Source organism: Homo sapiens, chromosome 2 (genome assembly GCF_000001405.40).
Source record: "Homo sapiens chromosome 2, GRCh38.p14 Primary Assembly".
Classification (NCBI taxonomy): Eukaryota; Metazoa; Chordata; class Mammalia; order Primates; family Hominidae; genus Homo; species Homo sapiens.
This window is the reverse complement of record NC_000002.12, coordinates 29115238-29139005: the sequence shown is the minus strand read 5'-3', so window position 1 is coordinate 29139005 and position 23768 is coordinate 29115238. Positions and strand designations below refer to the sequence as shown.

The 23768-nt window shown below is 38.3% G+C and overlaps 1 protein-coding gene and 1 long non-coding RNA gene across 17 annotated transcripts in view, besides 2 other annotated features; one reads left to right on the top strand and one right to left on the bottom strand.

Annotated features, from left to right (window-relative positions):
- Positions 1-23768, bottom strand: part of CLIP4 (CAP-Gly domain containing linker protein family member 4) — an 86083-nt gene that overhangs the window by 44803 nt on the left and 17512 nt on the right. For 6 of the 16 annotated variants that reach the window (XM_005264562.3, NM_001287528.2, XM_005264563.2 and 3 more), the window contains exons 2-6: positions 17485-17632; positions 7609-7748; positions 6761-6854; positions 5190-5351; positions 3340-3458 (exon numbers count right to left, since the gene is read on the bottom strand). In XM_005264562.3, the coding sequence (XP_005264619.1) occupies positions 3340-3458; positions 5190-5351; positions 6761-6854; positions 7609-7748; positions 17485-17617 (648 nt within the window). In that variant the 5' untranslated portion in view covers positions 17618-17632. Of the gene's footprint in view, positions 1-3339; positions 3459-5189; positions 5352-6760; positions 6855-7608; positions 7749-8240; positions 8500-17484; positions 17633-20644; positions 20851-23340; positions 23592-23768 lie in introns of those variants that run through there. The other 10 variants (NM_024692.6, NM_001410747.1, XM_017004959.3 and 7 more) reach the window with 7 other exon arrangements.
- On the top strand, positions 8658-11841 carry LOC124907747 (uncharacterized). The gene is made up of 2 exons (XR_007086264.1): positions 8658-8878; positions 11192-11841. It is a non-coding gene; the product is annotated as an uncharacterized LOC124907747 (long non-coding RNA).
- Positions 22941-23180: a silencer, noted in NCBI's record as "silent region_11320". NCBI's record gives its function as "represses an Ori minimal core promoter by ATAC-STARR-seq in GM12878 lymphoblastoid cells {active_cell/tissue: GM12878}" and the evidence as "EXISTENCE:reporter gene assay evidence [ECO:0000049][PMID:35858748]".
- Positions 23371-23730: a silencer, noted in NCBI's record as "silent region_11319". NCBI's record gives its function as "represses an Ori minimal core promoter by ATAC-STARR-seq in GM12878 lymphoblastoid cells {active_cell/tissue: GM12878}" and the evidence as "EXISTENCE:reporter gene assay evidence [ECO:0000049][PMID:35858748]".

Below are 23768 nucleotides of genomic sequence, written 5' to 3'. Positions count from 1 at the left end.
GCAAGAAAAAGAAATAAAAGGCACCCAAATAGGAAAAGAGGAGGTCAAATTACCTCTCTTCACCAACAATATGGTTCGATATGTAGAAAATTCTAAAGGTTCTGCCAAAAAAAACCTCCTAGACCTGATAAACAACTTCAGTAAAGTTTCAGGACACAAAATCAATATACGAAAATCAGTAGCATTTCTATACACCAATAACACTCAGGCTGAGAACAAAATCAAGAACACAATTCCATTTACAACAGCCACAAAATAATAATAAAAATACCAAGGAATACATCTAACCAAGGAGATGGAAGATCTCTACAATAACTATGAAATGCTGCTGAAAGAACACAAACAAATGGAAAAACACTCCATGCTCATGGACTGGAAGAATCAGTATCATTAAAATGTCCACATTGCCCAAAGCAATTGACAGTTTCAACAGTCTTCCTATCAAATTTCCAACATCGTTTTTCACAGGATTAGAAAAAACTGTTCTAAAATTCATATGGAGCCAAAAAAAAAAAAGAGCCCAAATAGCCAAAGCAATCCTAAGCAGAAAGAACAGAAGCCAGAGGCATCACATTACCTGACTTAAAATTATACTACAAGACTCCAGTAATCAAAACAGCATGATATTGCTAAAAAAAATAGACATATAGACCAATGAAACAGAATAGAGACCCCTGAAATAAAGCCACACACAACCAACTGATCTTTGACAAAGCTGACAAAAATAAACAGTAGGGAAAGGACACTCTACTCATAGATGGTGCTGGGAAAACTGGCTAGCCATATGCAGAACAATGAAACTGGACCCCCACTACTCACTATATACAAAAATTAACTCAAGATGGATTTAAAATTTAAATGTAAGACCTCGAACTACAAAAATCCTAGACGAAAACCTAGGAAATACTCTTCTAGGCATTGGCTTAGGCAAAGAATTTGGGACTAAGTCCTCAAAAGCGAAGGCAACAAAAACAAAAATTGTCAAACAGGACCTCATTAAACTAAAGAGCTTCTGCACAGCAAAAGAAACTATCAACAGAGTAAACAGACAACCTACAGAATGGGTAAAAATACAAACTATGCATCCAACAAAGGACTAATATCCAGAATCTATAAGGAATGTAAACAAATCAACAAGAAAAAAAATCCCATTAAAAAGCGGCAAAGAACATGAACAGACACTTCTCAAAAGAAGACATACAAGCAACCAACAAATATAAAAAATGCTCAACGTCACTAATCATCAGAGAAATGCTAATCAACACCACAATGAGAGACTATCTCACACCAGTCAGAATGGCCATTATTAAAAAGTCAAAAAATAACATCTTGGTGAGGTTGTGGAGAAAAGGAACATTTATACACTGTTAGTGGGAATGTAAATTGGTTCAGCCCCTGTGGAAAGCAATGTGGAGATTTCTCAAAAAACTAAAAACAGAATTACCATTTGACCTAGCAATCTCATTACTGTACACACCCAAAGGAAAATAAATTATTTTACCAAAAAGACACTGCACTCATATGTTTTTCACAGCACGATTCATAATAGCAAAGCCATGGAATCAACCTAGGTGCTCATCAATAGTGGACTGGATAAAGAAAATGCGGTACATATAGGGCATACTACACAGTCATTTAAATAATGAAATCGTGCCCTTTGCAACAACATGGATGCAACTAGAGGCCATTATCCTAAGAAAATTAATGCAGAAACAGAAAACCAAATAATGCATGTTCTCACTTATTAGTGGGAGCTGAACACTGGGTACACACAGACATAAAGATGGGAACAACAGACACTGGGACCCCTAAAGACGGGAGGGAGTGTGGGAGGGAAGGAGGTGGGGAAGGGCTAGGGTATGTTCACTGTTTGGGTGACGGCGTCAACAGAAGCCCAAACCTCAGCACCAGGCAATATAACCTATTTCACAAACCTGTACATATACTCCCTGAATCTAATATTTAAAATAAAAATTAAAAAATAAGATGGCGGCTATCAAAGTATGGTCTGAGGGCTACTGCTGACCCATACGTTTACCTTTTTTTTTTTTAAGTAGTTATTTTCAAAATATGGCAACCTATTAATCTGCTTCTGGCCTAAATTGGTAATTTAGCTCAATAACGTATCTCATGGCATCCTAACAAATTCAGAACATTGTCCCCACTAATGGGGCTTTGTCAACAGCTGTACCAACAAAAGCAAACGCCTCCCCCCTTCACACTCCAGCTGGACTGAATGATCATCTCCTAGGCTTCTTGCACGCTACTCTCTCTGCCTAAGATGCTTTCCTCACCCTCCCTTCAGTACCTGTTTAATTCTTGCCTATGTAAGCACTTGATTTAGATGTCACCCCCTGTTGAAGCCTTGGGAAGATGACCCCATGGCCCTCTGCCACCCCCGCCCCATCATGTCACACTGAATTAGCACACTACAGTAAAACTGACTGCTTCCCTGTCCCACCTCCCCTCTGCAAGACATTCTTTTTGAGGGCAAGGGCTTTATCTACATTATTGTAGTATTCTCCCAGTGCCCAATAACCAATATAGTCAGAAGGGAGGGAGGGAGGAAGAGAAGAAATTAAAAGTTGGGGGGTAATCAAGGGGGTTAAACAGAAAGAAAACTGGCAAAGAAGTAGGGAAAATGGGAAAAATAGGAAAGGGAAGGGAAGACAGGTGTTTTCGAATACTGCACACTATCTGCCGCTCACACACATCCCTTCAAGGGAAAGTATAACACGATTAAGAATACCTGCCAGAGCGAGTTATTGTTATTAATATAAAGAAAGGGAAAACAGAACACTTTCTGAAAAAAAAAAACAACAACAACAAATGATCTGAAGACTATGAAATTCAATCCTGTGTAACTCTGTAAATTAGTGAAATTTTACTATTAAAAAATACACTTTTCCTTTAAACATTTCATTTTCAAAGGCTTACTTCATCCTTAAATGGGTATATAACTTTCCGAAATGAATTTCCAAAAAAGTTTAGAATATGATTTAACAGAAAAATATAACTGTAATATATGTATTGCTACTTAACAGCTGACTTTTCATAAATACATCAAACTCCTAAATGAAAGATACTTAAAGATTATGACACTTAAAGGAAGACTTTACTTTCCTGAATGGGACTTATCAATATAAAAGGAAATTTATCATTATGCCTTAAATTTATTTACAATAAAGATCATCATCACTCTTTACATGTGGCACAAAGATATAAATTACTTGCTCATGTAAGAGTTCTTCTATTAATAACATTCAGATTCAACATTTTACCAGAAAGTAAGATTTCTTAATTCTTTTAATATTTTTCACTTTTAATTTAACCTCTTACCCTAAATGCAGGATTTGCTCCCTGCTCCAAGAGGCACTTCACAGCACCTGCACACAAGTTGTATGCTGCAATATGCAAAGCTGTTCCAAAATTAAAATCACTGCAAGTGGCATCCACATCTGCAATTAAACATCATAAGTATATTAACTAAAAGTTTAAACTTAGCTATCATAATTTAAAAGAAGACAGGGCTTTGGGAGGAGGGACTTATAGCATTTGTAAGACTTAAATCAACCCACTAGAGGCATGATTTCACAACAGAACAAAATCTTTATATTACAATCTAGTTAAAATAAGCAGTTGATTATTAGTACAATAAAATTCATTATAAGATGGAGTGATATTATCTTGGATTTTCAAACTAAAACATATTTTAAAACAATTAATGGCAAAAATTCATATCTGTAAAAGTAACAGCTTATCACAATCTCCCATTAAGTCTGTTGCATATTTGCCATGACAACTACAGTGAGGTAGAGTAGTAGAGTTTAGCTCAGGGGTCAGCAACCTATGACTCAGAGGCCAAATCCAGCCCACCTGTTTTTATAAAGTTTTATTAGAACACAGGCACACTCATTCATTTACATATCCTCTGTGGCTACTTCCATGCTACAACTATGGAACTGAGTAGTTTCATCAGAGACCATATGGTCCAAAAAGTCTAAAGTATTTAGTAGCTGGCCCTTTACAGAAAAAAAACGGCCAATACCTGGTAGGTAAAACAAAGCAGAATTTTCAAAGTAGTTAAAGTCTAATTAAGCATAGAAATGCTTACCTATAAATTGATTCATAATACTCTACTGAACAAATGAATTTGAATTTCATAATGAGAAAAGTAATCTTGCAACTCTAAGGACATGTTAATAACGTTTAACATAGCATCATATGTTATACTTAAATACAGGAAATCCTCCAGATTTGGGAATCCCATCTTGAGTATTTTCGATAACAAGGGTTTAAATATACCTCTGGTTCTGCAAATCCTACCCTCAACTAAACAACACCACACCCACATACCCTTCCTACAACTGCAAACCACCCAGAAATACTCGACAAACTCTCTTGAATTATTAAAGACACAGTAGTGTAGACAGAGGCTTTCTTCCCAACATCACTTAGAAATTGAAAAGGTAGAATTTTAAAGAGAAAATGGACAATTATGCAGATTGGAGGTTAGAAATGAACATTCTGGGAAATTTATCTATTGAATCTCTGAAGCATGTTCCTACAATGGGGAAAATATTGTACACTTTAACTTAACGTTAATACTATTTGCTTGCTCTCATATTTTTCTAAAAAAGAAAGAAAAGAAAATTGGGCCCCAAGAGAACCAGAGAGAAAAATCAAAATACCAGGACTGTGACTTAGACATTCAGATCTTCAATTTCAGGATATCACCATCAAAACAGGGAAAAAAAACTGAAATATTATCCCTTAAGTTGAATTATATAATTTCAGAACCAAATGCCATCTAAAATAAATATTATTTATTATTCCAATCTCTGAAGACCTTATTATTCTATTTCTGGCTACCCAAGCAAGGCAAAAGAATCATAAACCATGTAGAATCAATTATATAAAACATCCGTGTTATACTGGAGAACTTATAGAGATATGAAAACCCAGAGAACACTCTTTCATTTTGTATCTCTCTGTACTAATCCTTTTGTAGAAAAGATAGTAATTAATACTCAATAAAGAAATTTTAAACTATCTCAGAAATAAAATGGAGTAGAAAGGCATATGAAACAAGATGGATTAGAAGGAAAAAATATCCTTGAATTATAATTTTTATGCCACCACTAAAGTGTTCAGTTAATAATATCTAAAGGTGATCTTATAATACTTGCCTTTTGGTTTCGATGTTTTCAAAATCACTCTTATAAGTTCAGGGACATCAAAATAAGCAGCATAATGCAAAGCATTCATGTTTGTCCAGCGACTCCGCAAACTAATGTCTGCTCCCAGGTCAATAAGCTGAGTTGCAAATTTTACAGCTGTTTCCACATCACCTAAAGAAGATTTTCTAAATTACTTTCCTTTAGTACAAATTTTAAGTTCCAATGGATGGCTACCAATTGCCTCATTTAAAAAGCCAAAGCAAACAGTGCACTGTATAGACACACTTCAAAAATTTCACTTGCAAGAATTGATCCTAAGAAAATAATCATACTCAGGGATACAGATAAACACTTGGCTGCAAAGATGCTCATCACTGCACTCTTATTGTTAATATAATTCTAAAAAATCCAAAAAGTATAATAAGAAATTGGTTAAATAAATTGAGACACACATAGAATGCTATGAAGCCATCAACAACAACACAGCAGATCAGTGCTCCCCCAAACGTGTTCCGTGGACCACTGGCAGTCCCAAATTGCAATCTGTGTGTACCTTTTATTGCTTTTCCCTATTTAATATGTCTTCTCATTATGTTAACTGAAATGTAGTCTTATGCCTTTTATTCTTTCCTCTTTTTTAAAGACAGTCTTGCTCTGTCACCCAGATTGCAGTGTAGTGATACAATCACAGCTCACGCCAACCCTCAACTACTGGGCTTACACGATCCTCCCACCTCGGCCTCGCAAGCAGCTGAAACTCTAGGCATGCACCACCATGGTTGGCTAATTTTTTAATTTTTTGTAGAGACAAGGTCTCACTGTGTTGCCCAGGCTGGTCTCAAACTCCTGGCCTCAAGCAATCCTCCTGCCTGGGCCTCCCAAAGTGTTGGGATTACAGGTGTAAATCATCATGCCTGGCCAGTTTTATGCCATTTGAAAAATATTTGGGCTTATATTTTATGGCTTTATTTTATTTTGTATTATAAATTCATTTTTATTTTATTTTGTGAAAGTATCAGTTCATGATGAGTTGTGAGGGGAAAAAGGAGTCCATCACCACCAGTAGCTTCAGCACCACCACATCAGACTATTGAAACAAGGAGAGACAATCACAATATATAGTTAAGTAAGAGATGCAGGTTCATACAATGACAAAAAGCACAAGAGAATAACAATTTTGGAAAATATGCACATATGTTACATATGTAGGAACAGACCTTAGGTCTCAAGACTGGGGTCTTAAGATTAGGGATCAGTATGCAAAGACTGACCTTGGACTGTCAAACCTTGTTATAAACCCTCAGAAAGATTTTAGGGTGTTACTAGTTACTCTCATCTATTATGCAATCAGGCATGAGGCCTGATCCAGAAAAGTTAAGAGGTATCAGGAGGGTATAAAGACCTCCTTGATTAAAGGGAATATGGTTTTTGGAAGGACCTAACTGAATCCTCAGCTCTTCAGGCAATATTATCATCATCAGCTGGGTGCCTTCCCCCAGACAATATATGGGCATAAATATAGATTATCTAAGCACAAGTGCAGATGACATAAGCAACTGATAGATTTACCACACACTTACCAATACCATGAGCTCCAGATTTGCAGGTATAATGTAAAAGAGTCATATCTGTCAATCCATCTCTATCATTCACATTGCAACCTCTCTTAAGAATCTGAAGCAGTCAAGGAAAATATGGTTACAACCTAACTACTGAGGTACCTATTGCTTTCAAACCAATGCTGAGGAACCAAGTTAGTCTATCGTATCTGAATTACTTCTCAGTAAAATGTATAGACAGTATGAGCATATCTTAAGGGTAAATTTTTAAATCTGTACTCAACAACAATAATGAAAACTGAACTTGTCAGCAGGCTGAAGGAAATTCTTAAAGATTATTCCAAAGGTAATCTGGCACTCCAAATATGTTCCTCTCAAAAATGAGCAAAATTTTATTTCTATGCGTGTAATGATATTTGAAAAAAGTATAAGCACTCTCTTCCTACAACACAGCAACATACTGGTCAAGGAACCCTCCCTCAAAAAATCTAATATTCTTAAAGACTACATTCAAGCCTATATATTTACCAAACCAACCAAAAGTGTAAATAGAACATGATGGTAATCAAATCCCTTTATGAAATGCATAAAAGTTTACAAAATTAATTTTACAAAGAAGGAAATATGAAAAATGCCCCTCCCTGCACCCGCCAGGAGTCTACAAATGTCAGAAGTACAGAGCATGAAGAAATAATCAGAAGAATATATAGTATTAACTCACTGCCCCATGAAAATCCTGGAAATACAAATAAATATCAGAACTTTTAAAGGGTTTCTCCTTTATTACCATCTTCCTTTCAGATGGGGAAAAAAATCTATACCATTAACAATCCTAACAATGCAAAACTTAAAATGTAAGAATTCCTTACCTCATTTCCAATAATGTCAATGTTTTGTTGGACCTGAGGAACCCACTGTCTCAAAATGGCAAATAATTCTGAAACTGAAGTTTTGGGATCAAAAAGAATTTCCTGGCATGATGCATCATTAGGATCAAAGAAAGAAAATTCTGAAATAAAAAAAGATGCAAATTAAATTTACTAAAAGTTTCAAATAAATATATTGAAAATAATAAACAATAAAACCAAGGTTCAAATGATACAAATATTTTAGATGCTAAAAAAAAATCAGAAGTATCTAAATAAGGAAAATATTATGAACATTTGCTGAGCACTTACTAAATACTTTAAAAATCCTCACCAACACCTTACCTGGCAGGTATTATTCTCATTTTGCACATGAGGAAAGCAAAGCTCAGACTAAATAATACCAGCTCAACATCGCACAGCTAGTAAGTGGCAAATCTGGGGTAGAAAACCAGGTCTGTCTCCAAAGTCTATCTTCTTTCCTCTATTATTCTACTTGCTGAGGTAACTCACCACTGAGCTCAGATTGTAACAGCATGCATAAGTAGTGGGACTCATTGAGGTTTTTTTGTTTTTGCTTTCTTCTTTGCATTTATATATTTTCCAAAATTATACTATGTACACATAGTTCTTACTTCTAGAGTCAGCATAACTAAAAGATGAGAGGCACCAAACTAAAGACACATATACAAGCAGAGCAGCAGTCCATCAGAAGAGAATCAGAAAGATTGAACTGAAATGTGATAACATTCGTAAGCTTAGACAACAAAATGGTCCTGTTAGGCAAAAATCAAAATAGAAGCCAAGACAAACCTTGGCCTCTGAGCCAAAGTCCCACCCCCAGCTCAGGAAAACCTGTAAGGACCTATTCTCCAAAACACCTACTTAAACTGCACATGAAGCTTGAACTTCATTTCTTGGTCAGCATGACTCAGCACATTGCAGCAAATCAGTAATGACTAAACTAACCCACTCATTCTAACCAGTGAGAATTAAGCTGTATGAATTTCCTTTTCTAGGCTTTATAAACCTTACTATAACCTTCGTGAGACAAGCTTCTTACCACTTTTGATTTGGAAGTCTCCCTATTTGCAGTTTTTTACTAACTTAATATTTATATTAAGAAAAGCACCCTGAATTTTCTTTTGACAGTTTTTGATGTCAGAAGCAGGATCAGAAGAAGACCCCTGTGAAGCCCCAAGGCCAGTAACTAGGTGCTGGTACCCAGGGCCGCAGCACTGGCTGCTCTCTCACCCAGCCATGGAGTTCTAGAGTAAGTCTCTTTTGAATCTGAGCTCTCCTCCTTCTGTGTAGAACTCTCCAATTATGCTGAACAACCTTTGCTGAAACTTCTCAGGAAGTCAACCTATTCTGTTCAAAAGGGGGAAGGGTGAAACACATGATTCCCTGTGTTCCAGAGCAGCTGCTGAAAAAAGAATCCTTAATAGTTAAGACCTTTCAGAGAATCTAATGCAAAGATGGGGTCCAAAAACACTGTGGATCAGAATCTTGTGAACTTTACAAAGTTCACAAGAAAAAATAGGTGAACTTTACAAAGAATAATTTGCAATTTCAGTGACCACTTCGGAGAACCTTTAATTTAGGTAAGATAGTCTGCCTTTGGGAGTGCCCTTGAAGGAGGAGTATCCTAAGCCTTTTGGAGACAATGGAATGCATTCTTTGATTTGTATGCAGAAGCTGCTGAACACAAAATGACTCAAAAATAGCTTCTCTAAAAGCATCCCTACAGCACTCAAATAAAAAAAAAATCTTCACTAAAAAGCTGTAGCCATCTGAGCAGGTAACCTTGACTTGTTCCATCTCTCACAGGTACAATTTGGATCCAGCTTCTTTTATAAACCAATAAGCTTTGTATTATTTTAATTGACACATGGCTAAAATTTGGAAATGAAAGCTATAAGATCTCTGTGTCTGTCTGTATACACAAACAGACACAGAGATCTTATAGCTATGTATGTTCAATAGACATAAGTAAAAACAAGTGCTTATATAAATTAAGTATTCCTGAAAACTCTCAGAAAAATAGGAACTAATCCAAATGCTTTTCAAGTTCATGTGACTTGGGTAATTTTCAATAAACAAAAACATTGTTGGTTTAGTTTAAAAAACCAATATGCCTTCAGAGTTGTCAGCATTAGACATAAGGCAGACGTACAACTTTGATTCTATGTAGGTCTACTAGTCAAATAAGCTCATGTTAGACAAGTGAATTACAAATAAGCCTCTGCTATCTCTAAGTTACAAAATTTCTCAGCAAGAAAAACAAGATGATGCTTAGCTATTTAATGTCTCATGAAATTTTCGTAAGTAATCCAAGCATAATTGTTCAAAACAAGTGAATTAAATCAATGTAAGTCCACATAAGATAAATACTGAAACATTAATTGCTGAACATAAGCTTATCTACTTTTGGACAGAGAAACTAAAGATACCTGGGTGTGTTAGTAAACATGTCCTGTGCTACACTGAAAAATTATAATATAAGGAAACGTGCTTCTAGAAATTATGGTGTATTTACATAGATTTCTCAATCTACAGAATGCTAGCGTGACAGTCAAGAAAAAATGTGAAGTAGGAAGATATGTTTTTTGCTGAAAAAGAAAATGAAGGAAAAAAACCAAAATGGCTATAGGAAGTTCAGAAGAGGGAGAGAGAATCTTGTGTGATTAAGCTGGCTAAAATTGAATGAATCTATTATCATTCATATCAAAATAATGCATAACTAGCATTTCAGCTCCTGTTAAAACGACTAAACTTTCTTGGAGTATGGGCCTGCTCTTGATGGGAGATTGTGAAAGGTTTTTCTTTAACTTTTGAATGGTCTGCCTAGAAAGCAAAGATTCTGTATTTTGTCAAGATAATTTCATGTGCTTCGTGCTGTCTTTGATTAAGTTTCTCTCTCAAAAAGTCAAGGGGTTTTGTTTTTTTTTGTTTTTGTTTTTTTTAACAACTACATGGCTTTCTCTGTATTTGCCTTTGAAATCTTTGTCACTTTGGTTAAATGGATAACTAAATACCTGTAATCCTATTTAATCAAGTGCTTTGAATCTTGAATCTTTTGGGTATTCTTTTTATAAACGTCTCAAAAATCAAATTCTGAATGAAGTCTTTTCTGACCTTAGACTAACTCTGGGATTTTTCAACGGCCCCTAGAAAATCTTGTTCTATTTCTTTAAAAAAAAAAAAAAAAAACACAGACATTAAACTAATTAAGCATCTTTGCATGGGAAGCATTGTCAAATAAATGTGAAACTAACTAGGCTTATTTGATATGTGAAACTAACTAGGCTTATTTGATCTATTACACTGCATGAGAAGCATTGTCAAAGGTGATGCTTAACCTTATGTTATTTTTGTATGACTATATTATTAATGTAAGTGTTTTAGAAATTGTATGAAATTCCTAGAAATTGGATATGTTCTGGTATAATTTTATCAGTCATAATTCCAGTTATTATCTTCAAATGTTATAAAATAAACAACCAAATTTCCTTGTCAATTGCATTAAAATGAACTGTCATCAAATCTGTAACTATGGACATTTTAAATCTTTTGCCATCTACAGACAGTGATTTTTTACTCTGATATTTTCCTGAAAGCTTTTGCAAGCATCTGTGATACAAAATTGCTGGAAGATTTACAGAAAAGACTCTGACAAGTGCAGGTTTCTGGTAACTTTAAGATCACAGCATTGGACTGGGTAAGAATTTCCAGCACTCTAATGGAAAACCAATGGATTCATGAGGCTGCTAACCCAAAATCAAGCAGAACAAGAATTACAGGGGACTGAATGAACTGATGAGGGTGATTATAATTTTTATGTCTTTGAAATATTGCGGGTTCTTTAATGTTTGTTTTCTAGAGTTAAAGAATGCCTTTTCTCTTTTCCCTTAAGACCTACAACTTACAGCAATTTGGTGAAGAATACTTTTGTAAACAAAAATGAAACACATTTTCTTTTCTCCCTACCCCAACCCCTCCAAAATTCAGAAACTTATTGAGTATTCTTTATTTTCATGGCAATATAAATATTTACATAAGTTCAATGAAAGTTTGTTTCCCCTGTAACAGGACACAATTGGGCAAGTCCTCTGCTTGGCTTCTTAGACTGAAAAGGCTTTTTAAAGTCTAATTTCAGATTCCTTATTACCAGACAGTTTTAAGGAATTCAGATTGACTTTACAAAACCAATAAAGCCCCTTAGATATTATCAAACCTCTGACTGGAATGGCATACTTGAGAATGTGTACATATTCACTATTCTTGCTGCACTTACATATATAATCAGGCCAGCTTAATGAGACAAAACTTATTTTGCGAACAAATTAGCCTGTGATTATCTTTGGTAGAAATGGGAACTGTAGAGAGAAAAATTGTGTTTCCATAGAAAACTCTAAGTACGCCCATTATCAGATTCTAGTCCTGTTTATTGTCTTTGAGGCACTGTCCACCTATAAACTGCACTGGATCCTGAATTCCTCTAGTTTCCTCCAATATCTGGTTACAACCCTCCAAACTATTATTTCCAAATTCTTAAAACTGTCCTTTTCCCCAACCCCTACTGGATGATTTGATGTAAACTTTAGACAAATCGCCATCATGGCTCATGTAAGGAACCTTTGTGCCTGTTTCTGTGGGGGCCACTTAGAGAATTCACCAAAACATCTGATGACATCAACCAAGACATTCAAACTGCAAACCAGGAAAGTCCATCGGTAGAAACTGCCATCCTCATTTCAGCATCTCAAGATGCTCCAAGAGCAAATCTGGAAATCTTCTTAATGCCCTGCCTTCCAGAGGGCTCATTTAAATAACAATAAGTTAGACTTATTAAGTGCCTTGTAGATGCCAGGGACTGTTCTATGAACTTTGTGTATATTAATTTATTTAATCCTCATAACTACCATATGAGGTAGGCACTATTGTTATTCTCATTTTATAGAAGAAGAAACAAAGGGATAGATAATATAAACAATTTGCCCAAAATCACACAACTGGAAAGTGATTGAGTCAGGATTAATGCCAGAATAACCCAGAATGAGAACATAACCTCTAAGCTACAATGCAATAATATATTAACATATCTAACTACATTTGAATTTTCAACTTCCATAAAGGAAAATAAAGTATTTTTTATGCTGTTGCAAGCTTTTGAGATTAAATGAAAAATAGTTTTTATTTTTTTATTTTTTGTAGGGACAGAGTCTCACTCTCTCGCCCAGGCTGGCGTGCAGTGGCCGATCTCAGTGATCTCAGCTCACTGCAACCTCTGCCTCCCTGGTTCAAGCAATTCTCCTCTGCCTCAGCCTCCCAAGTAGCTGGGACCACAGGCGCACGCCACCACACACGGCTAATTTTTGTATTTTTAGTAGAGACAGGGTTTCACCATGTTGGTCAGGCTGGTCTTGAACTCCTAACCTCAGGTGATCCACCTGCCTCAGCCTCCCAAAGTGCTGGGATTACAAGTGTGAGCTACCAAGCCCGGCCTAAAAAATAGCTTTTAATCAAAAGAAAGTGGGGTGAGGGGAGAAAATGGAGGTGATGTCTACTTTAAGTCAAGATGGAATAATGAGGGCCAAATTCGCCCTTCCATCTGAAACAACCACAACACCAGAGGGAAGAACAATGGTTTTCAAGACACGGGATGTTAGACAATGAAAGACAGTGATCTCTGAGGAATGGAATACAAATGAGAAAAGTCCTACACATGCCCCAGGTAACTGCCTTGAGGGAGTCTCCAGGAGCATAGTTCAGGGGTGGGGCAGGGGGAACCAAGAAAAAGCCCAGCAAACTCGCTGAGTTGAGGAGACAGAGCTAAGTAAGAGTCTGGACTCGCTGAGTTGAAGAGACAGAGCTAAGAGTCTGGACTCACTGAGTCGAGGAGACAGAGCTAAGAGTCTGGGGAACTTGAGGCGGCCAGAGGTCACAGGGCAGAATACAGCAGAGATGGATGCACACACTCCAAGAGAAACCCAGAGACCTGTGCAGGGTCCTCCTCAACTATTCATCATATGCTTGTGAGGAAATACTTGAAGTAAGGGAAAGAACCATCCATAAGGACTACAGGGATTAGTGCCTATTCTCACAAGGAAGATTGAAAAAGAATCCTCATAATTCACACAGCATTGAGTAGAACAGCAGTCCCCAATCTTTCTGGCACCAGGGGCCGGGGTAGGGGGACCAGTACCAGTCCGTAGCCAGGGGGTTCAGGGCCCCTGGAGTGGAATTCTCAGTAGTAGGGAACAATTAGCCCCAGGCCAAGAATGGCTCCAGACCCACCTAACAAATCAGAAAAGTAGGACCTCAAAGGGTCCAACTATTTCCAAGTAACTAAACTGTATCCCAGAACAAAGTTCAAGAATACTTACAGGAATACAAAAATATCCAGCATCTAACAAGGTAAAATTCACAATGTCTGGCAGCCAATTAAAGATTATCAGGCAAGCAAAGAAAGAAGAAAACATGACCCATAATCAGGGGAATAATAGACCTAGAGTTGACATGGATATTATAATTAACAGAGAAGGACATTAAAACAGTCAATATAACTCTATTCCAAATGTTCAAAGGTGGAGAAGAGACCTGGGCATAAAAAAGAGCCAAAGCAAACTTTAGAGATGAAAACTTCATCTGAAATGAAAACTGCACTGGAAAAAATCAGCAGCTAATTAATTAGACACTGCAGAAGGAAAGATTAATGAACTTGAAGATGCAGTAATATAAACTATCCAAAATAAAGAGAAAAAAATGTTTAAATATAAAATAAATCAGTGAGTTATGGGACAACTTCAAGCAGTCTATAATATACATGCAATTACAGTATCTGAAAACGGGGAGAAGCAGACAAAAAATTTTTTTAAATGATTTCCCAAACTTAATGAAAACTGAAACTCAGATCCAAGCAGCTCAACCAAACCCAAGCACAAGAACATACAGAAAACAATACCTAAGCACATAATAGTAAAATTGCTCAAAATAAAAACTCTTTAAAGCAGCCAAAAAAAAGACATTACATCTAGAGAAACAAAAATGACAGCAGAAACAATGCAAATGGGAAGAGAGCAGAGCAAGATCTTTCAAGTACTGAAAGAAAACTACCAACCTATAATTCTAAACCCAGCAAACACATTTTTCAAAAAAATAAGGTAAATAAAGATGTTTTCAGACATAAAACAGCTGAAAGAATTCATCACTGGCAGACCAGCACCATAAGAAACATTACAGGAAGTGCTTCAGGCGGAAGGAAATGGTATCAGATGGAAATCTGGACCTACACTCACAAAGGAATGAAGAGCACTAGAAATGGTAACTACATGGGTAAATGAGATTTTTTTATATTATTTAAATTTAACAGATAATTCAATGTTTAAGCAAAATATATAATAAGGTATTTTGGTATTTATAATGTATATAATGTGTATTCTGCATGAACTGATTCTGAAGGCATTTCAAAGCAAAAGATTCCAAAAATTGTTATGCAAGAACAGTACATAGTTTCACAGGGTAATCACCTTGAGAGTCAACACTGAGTCACATGCCTCAACTCTGGTTTCTGTGGACTGGTTTCTTTTTGTTTCTTTGTTTTACACTCATTAGTTGGTATTATATAAAAATTCCCTATGGGGGCCTACATGACCCCGCATGACCTGGCCGGTGTCTTACTCTCCAATTCCTTCTCCTCCCACTCTGCCATCAATCACTTTGCTTCTCAGCCACAAAGACCTTCCATTAATTCTTAGGATATACCAAGGTCTTCCCTCAACACTGTGCCTTTAGTTTTCTGTTTTCCTTCCTGGAACACTTCTTCCCAGGCTCTTCTCACAGCCAGCCTCTTCTGATTCTCCGAATGACCACCCCATCTAAAGCAGCTGCCTTGCCCCCATTGTTCTCTATCACAGCACCCTGTTTCTTTCTTCCACAGAATTCATTATGACCTATTTTTGCTTTGTCTATTCATTTGTTTGTTTACTGGTCTTCCCTATAGAAGACCTGTCTTGGTCACTGATATCTCCAGCATCCAGGACAGTCCCTAGCACACAAGAGGCCCTCAATAAATACTTGCTCAATAAATGCAATTATATATGCCGCTTTTCAAGGGGAGACTGACCACAGTGTACCAAGAAAGCAGCTACGATGAAAAGGGTCTAGAAATCCTGACAATGAGAAACTGGTGAAGGAAACAGAAATGTGTAGCCTAAGGAGTTTCAGGCTAAGTTAAAATGTTCAAACTATCTGCAGATACTTAAAGGCTATCCTATAAAGGAATTTGTGCCATGTATCAAACTAGAATCACTTGGCCAAAATTTCAGGGAGACCAATTTTGAGTCAACATACGAAAACAATTTTATTACAACTAAAGCTTTTTAACAATAAAATTAACTATTTTGTTAGTTTCCCACTATTGAAGACATGCAAGAGGTTAAATGGTTATCTGACAGAGATCCTGAAAATATGATGTCTACACAGGGAGGTGAGTGGGGAAAGGTTCATAAGAGTCTACAAAAACCTATAATTCTAAGACTACAATGCTTTTTTTTTTTTTTTTTTTTTTTTGGAGACAAAGTCTCACTCTGTGGCCCAGGCTGGAGTGCAGTGATGCGATCTCAGCTCACTGCAACCTCTGCCTCCTGGTTCAAGTGATTCTCCTGCCTCAGCCTCCTGAGTAGCTGACAATATAGGCGCACACCACCATGCCTGGCTAATTTTTGTATTTTTAGTAGAGACGGGGTTTCAACGTTTAATTCCAGTTATGCAAAATGTCAATATCCATTATTACCTTTCATTCAATGTATTTATTCAACAATCATTGAGCAACTAATAACAAATGACTATATTAGCCTTTTTGAGATAAACAAAAATAAAATGATTGTTCTCCATCCCAAAGCGCTACAATATAGGAAAGAAAATAAGACAATTAGAAGTCAAGATGGAGTGAGACAAGTATCATACCTAAGGTACAATGCACAAGGTTCAAGGTTTCCCCTGCATAACTGATTTTGTTATATCTGAAAATAAGCCCAGTTGATTACTGCAAAACCTGCAGATAACTCCCAAGATCAAGGCACAGGTTTTATATAATACTTCTGACGACTGGTCTAGGTAAGCTGCTAAAGAATCTGAATACAAAAAAAAAAAAAAAGAAACTTGGAGATGAGGAATTACTATACTACAACGAATATGACTAAAAAGACAAATTCTCAGTCCAATAACTTTATATCTACTAATATCTACTAATATGTAAAAATTGTATGATCTCTACCTCCAAAAACAATTTGAAATGGTGAACCAACATTTTACTTGAAAAACTCTAAACTGGAAATTTAACAATTCTATCAAATTTATCTCCTGGTTCCCTTTTATTATGGTTCTGGAGAAATAAGCCTAAATAGATGAGAAGTGGAATGCTTCTAAATTAACATTTTACAGAGGAGATGTAAATGGACCAATTTAAACATTAACCAATCTCATTTCACATTCCAGGGAAGGGTCTCTTACCCTCTTTGCCTAAGTACATGGCTTTTTTAGCAAGTCAGTATATTTAACCAAAATAAATACATCAATAGCAGAAGAATGCTAGATATCTAAGCACCATTGCTTTCTAAAAATAAAGTCCTCTAAATCCATCATGATGCTTAAAATGAACATTTTAACATAATATAAATGCTGACAGCAGAAATAAAGCATTTAGCTTAAGAAGCAGAAAAAGCAATAAGCAATTGTATTTTTGAAAAAGGAAAACTTTAGCAATTTTATGAAAACCATAAAAATGGTTCTAAGAAAGACTATGAGTGCAAAAAAGGCGTAACAGAGAAGTCAAGTTACCAGTTCACAGAAAATAAGCACAGCTACTTCACATACCACAGTCTGAAGGCATTGGTGCTGCAGAAATGGAAAAGATAACTGGGGTATCAGAAGCAGAAAATATAAATGGGTATCTTCCAAACAAAGGATTTCCTTCTAATGGAAAATCTGGAAGGTCCTCTATGGTCATCTTCTAGAAAGCCACCTATAATAAGAAAGAAAAAAAAAGTGTTTCTACTTTATTTGTATGCAACTTAGAATGACTGCCTTCAATAACTGCCTAAAAGTTATTTGACGTCAAATCTGCTGACATTTTCAGTAAGGATCTTTTATGAAAGGGAAAAAATTCCTTTTGGCAAAACTGTTGTTAAAAGGCATACATTGCTTCACACCACCTCTTATACCAGTCGGTAGCACATGTAATCTCTCTAGACAAAGCTCAAAAGGAATATAAAATAGGTGAAAACACTTTAAATGCTGAGCTAATCTAAATGGGTGAAATCCTCCTACTCATGTAACAAACAAGGGCGTATTAACCCTTGTAGATGGATCTTTAACTTCCCATAACACTGGCACAAGTTACATCATTTGTCATCCAATAGCTCATGCCATGTGCTCATCACATGAAGATAATCTACCTTAAAATGTTTCCATTATTTTCTATCCCAGAAAACTTTACTGAAAATTAATCATATCCCTCTTACAAATCTAAGAGTTTACTAAGATTGTTCAACTTAACAAGGTCCGAGGTATGTGAGTTCTATCCTGGCCAAAGATGGAAGCCATGCCTTTTAAAGCACATGGCTTATATTACCTCTTTTTCCCAGAAAACATGAGTGCTTAGAATAAATTTGCTCTAAATTAGACTTTGTACTACACCCTAGCCTACATCTCAGAAATGATGTAGAAAGCAGAGAAACTGCTAGTAAAACCAAACTTATGAAGCTAAAAGCCTTCCAGTTTCTTTTGTATCCGATCTTTACTATCTGAAGTATCATGAATTCCTGTTTTTAAAATGTAAGCAAAACATTATAAAACTAAATGAAAAATGAGTTTAGATTATTTCAGTAGAAAGCACAGAATAAAAATAGGTAATCAATGGCTTGATCTGGTAGTAGACAACACCATACTAGCTACTACTTAATGTGTGCTCTGTTCTACTTAACCAACCCTATATCTAACTCAATTATCCTTACCATCAGTTCCCCACTACAATAAAACAGTCATTTCATTGAGCTCACTGTTGTCTTCCTAACTTGATTCATGTTTTCTTAATACTGGCAGGAACTGGTAAAAAGTAGGAGGCTTTCTTTTTCCTCAAAAATCGTATGCTTATATGGATATAGATGTTATATATTAGGTAACCTAATCCAGTTGTTACTATTTTAAGGTATTCACATTTTCTTGGATGCTAAAATTACTTACCACCAAATACTTAGAAGCATTTTGACATTAACCTTGCCACATAAATAGGAAAATGACAAGTTCATGGAATTAGTGTTATAGAGCAGCGGTGATCTTCCTCAAATACTATCAATTCCAAACAGTAATGAGTATTTATTAAGGAACCACTATATACAAGACACTATTCTAGATGTTTCAGCAAATACAAAAATGAGTTAACAGATGGTCCATGCTTCTTAGGTAGTTTACAATCTATTAAGGTGAATAAAATACCACTAATAACTATAGATTATGAGGCAGAATGGGATCTGCTCCATCACATAAGTACCAGGAACATTTGCAGTTGGAGCTTCTAAGAATCATAAATGGTGAAGAAGGTATCATCTGTGATGAGTCTTGAATGATGAATAGGTATCAATATAAAAGGGGATCCCATTAAAAGAACAGTAGGCTGGAACTTGGGATATGACTAGGAAAACAGTCAGAGGTGAGGCTGTAAGGGCTTTTTAGGGCTGTACTGAGGAGCAAATACCTCATCAAAGACCAAACCACTTACTTTCATGAGCACTGGGAAACTACTGATTTTTTTAAAGAGAGTAACATGATTAAAGCTGTTTTAGGAAAATTAATCTGACTATAATCACGGTTTGGGACTCAGACATGTTTTTATACTCTTAATTCTTCAGCAAAAAGATTCAGTGGATATCTGTCTGAGTCGGTTAAGAGGAGTCACCACATGACTTCCCTTTCAAAGGGTGGAGTCTCCCATTCAAAAAAAAAAATTTTAAGTGATCCCCAGAGCACCTTTCATTTCCTTGTAAACTGTTGAGATCCTCAAAGATACGAACTCTATCGTACACAACTAGCAGTCACCACAGGAGCTAGAATAGTGTGTTACACATATTTAACTAATATTCAAAGCTTAGATTCAAAGTGGAAAGAGGATTCATGCAATCAGATGTAACCAGCTTCATTCTTTTACATATTAGATACTTCAAGTCCAGAAGAAGCTACAATATTACCTGACCAATGCAGTGAACATTCTTTGTATTTTGTCTTTGTTGCGTTTTTCTCTAGTTACATTTCCTTATTTTCGTGAAAAACTTAACATTCTACCTTTTGTCCTCCCAAAGGAAACTATGTACCCCTATAAACTTCCTTATAGTCTCAGATTCATTTCCTAAAAGCAATTCCTGGATCTGAAGACCTACAACACCTGGACTCTTGGTCAAATGTCTAAGTATACTGATCTGAACTGAGTACACACTTTCATTCCAAATCCAACTATGGTTAACTGGTGATAACTGATTATAAAGTAAGCCTCAGGTTAAAAATATATATATATATATTGGCCCTGCCAGGCATGGTGGCTCACACCTGTAATCCCAGCACTTTCGGAGGCCATGGCAGGTGGATCACCCAAGGTCAGGCATTCGAGACCAGCCTGACCAACATGGCAAAACCCCATCTCTACTAAAAATACAAAAAATTCGCTGGGCATGGTGGAGGGCACCTGTAATCCCAGCTACTCAGGAGGCTGAGGCAGAAGAATCGCTTGAACCTGGGAGGCAGAGATTGCGGTAAGCCGAGATCCCGCCACTGCAGTCCAGCCTGGGCAAGAAGAGCGAAACTCCATCTCAAAAAAAAAAAAAAAAAATTGGCACTAATCAACTGTCTACAGAACAGGTGCCTCTGATACTAACAATAGCTAGAATCAAATTCCCCAAACTCTGATTTCTATAGGAATTTCACCCTACTCATCACTCCAAGTTAGCTGTTAGCAAAAGCATCTTACATAACGTGGCTCAAATACCTTGTGATTTTTTTTCCAAGACTCCTTGGTCCATGCTTTAACACAGAGCAGTAATAAATGGGGATGTCCACTAGCATCTTCAGGCTGGTTCAGGACTGTCTGGACCCCATAAAAGGGCCTTACTGAAGCCAGGAGACTTCAGATTTGAGATATGGTTCAAGAGTGTCCTTGAGTTATTCAACTAATAGGAGACCAAAGCTGTGTCTACATTAGCTGGAATCATGAGGCCCTTTCATTCAATTTCCTGTAATACTTTGTTATGAGTCATCATTCTCCTGAGATTCCAATCTCACCACGTAAGTATTTAAAGCATAACTCCAATGATCCTTTTATTTGCTACCTACATAACATCTGTACAATCTACTAAACAGGTATTTACAGTACTGAACACTTAGTTGGCCTTAGAGAGAATTAAAAATTGAAATACCTGCCCTGAAAAAGCTATTTATGCATTTAACAAATATTTATTCAGTTTTTCTTACTAAGTTCTAAGCTATGCAAAGGTAAAGAAACCAGATCTGTCCTTGCCCTCATATAAATTACAGCCTAGTGTTGATTCCTACCAGAAAGTTGAAAGTAGTAAGTGCTATGACCAAGGACAGCTGAGTCCTATGAAAGCACAGATTCAAGAGGGTCAACGAAGGCTTCCTGGAGACTAATAAGTTAAAGCTGTGGCATCTGACCAGCTAACTACTAGCCACATGTGACTATTTAAATTAATTTAAAAATTGGCCAGGTGCAGTGGCTCATGCCTGTAATCCCAACACTTCGGGAGGCCGAGATGGGCAGATCACTTCAGGTCAGGAGTTCGAGACCACCCTGGCCAATATGGTGAAACCCCACAGCAAAAATTAACAGGGTGTGGTAGCAGGCGCCTGTAATCCCAGCTGCTCGAGAGGCTCAGGCAGAACAATCGCTTGAACCTGGGAGGCAGAGATTGCAGTGAGGAGAGATCAGGCCACTGCACTGCAGCCTGGGTGACAGAGCAGAGCGAGACTCCGTCTCAAAAAAAAAAAACAAAAACAAAAAAAAGAGAGAGAGAAAAGGAAAAGAAAAAAAATATTAAAATTTCAGTGCTTCCACTGCTCTAGCCCCATTCAAGTGGTCAAAAGCTATATGTGGCTAGTGCTACCATATTGGGTAATGCAAAAAGAACATGTTTCTGGTCTCCGAAAGCTCTTCTAAACAGCACTGAAGGAAAACAGTGCAGCTCACTCTCCAGATGAGAAAACAATATACAAATGCCTGAAACAAGACACAAATAAAGGTTAACACACTAAAGCAAGCCTATAGCTCCATAGTTCATTATAAATAATTAACAAGGGAGCAGTAAGCCTAAAAGTAACCAGAGTTTGAGGTTTGAACAGGGAGAAAGAGTGAAGTTGATTTTATATAATCTAAAGATCACTAGTTTCAAACACGTGTCAAAATTGGAGTTGTCATAAGCTATGAGAGACAACATAGGTCACTTTTTTAAAAGCCCTTGCTGGTGGGACTGTATGTGGTAAACACAAAATGTCTGAAATGAATCCTACAAATAGAATACCATGGGCTAAATCTTCTACAAAACAGAAGTAAACACATTCCATGCATGGCTAGACTCAATCTTACAGTCCAGATAGACCGTATCAAATGAAAGCATTTAAAAAATGCATCATATTTACGAAAGCAAAATAAGCTGGAACCAGGATGGTTCTCCAACATAAAAACGCAGACCAACTAGACTCCAGCAGGTTCAAGTCTCTGCTTTCCTCCCCAGTTGCTCAATGCCCCGCACCACGTGATCCTGTGCTGTTTAGACGACTCACTTTAAATTGTGCACAAGATTCACAAACAACAAACGTCAAAGTGAAAGTGAAGTACAATTTAAGTGCTGGCGGATGTTCCTGAGGAAGGTGTTTACTGAAACCTTTCAAAGGCGCCCGTTTTATACGATGATGGTGCTACAATATGAACGCAGTCTAGTATCTCAGAACATACAGCAAGTTATTGTCCCATAGGAACATCATCCTCTGATACGTATCAAAACACTGTCTCAGCACAGAGCTGAAAACCAGAGTCTGGATGACGTGAACAGCCTGACATCTAATTCAAAGCTCTACCATCATAAGCAGTGAATGGGATCCTTAAGGATGCGGGCTCAGCTCCAGCGCTCCTTTCAACTTCCCCTCCCAGGTGCGGATGGTTCAGAATTAAGGGATCTCAGGTAGCCAAGGACTGCAAGGACAGCCATTTGGTTTAGCTTTGAAGACCCACTGGCCAAAGGTTTCTCGACAATTTAATGCGCAAGGGGAGTCAAGTGAGAAATGGGAAGAGGCCGCGTTGGAAAGCCACTGCGCGTGCGGGGACTCTCGGGGCAGCCGCGGCTGGCGGTCGTGGCCCAGAGCCCAGCTCCGCCGCCGGGTCCCGCACACCCCGCGCCCCTCAACCTAAAGTTGGGCCGTCCGTCAGCGGCCGCCACGAGGAGTCCCCATCCCCGCCGGGTGGGCCGCTCCGCCCCGAGAAGGCCTCCCCGCGGCCAGCGACACCGGTGCCCACGGGAGGCGGCCGCGGGGCTTCCACAGCCCCCAGCGCCTCTGCGCGACCCTCCCGGGGCCACTGACCTCCCCGCGGGCCCCCAGGGCCGCCCACCCCGGCCCCAACCCCGCCGCCGGCCAGCCCGCGGCCCGGGGGGGCCCCGCGCGCCCCCGGCCCACCTGCCTCCTCCGGGTCCTCTCGGAGCGGCCGGCTGGGGACGCGGGGGCGCGGAGGAAAGGCCGAGAGGCGCGCTCCCGCCGGCGCTGTCTCCCGTGGCCGCCCACGGAGCCTCCCGCCGCGCCGCTCCACACCTCTCCGGGCCCCTCCCGCTGCCTCCCACGCGGGGTGGGCGCGCGCGCAGTGCAGGCGGCCGGGCGGCGCGCAGGCCTCGGCCACGGCCCCGCGCACGCGCTGGGGACTCGGTGGGGACGGAGGAGGCAGCGCGCGCCTGCGCTGGCTCGCCTGGCTCCCGCGCCCCCGCACTCCCCAGCAGTCAGATGATCGGGCGCACGCGGGGCCGCGACCCCGGCTGACAGCGTCTGCGGGGTGTCGCAGTGTTACCTCCCCCGCCGCGAAGCCAGGCGGCCCCGGCACGCCGTGCGTGCCC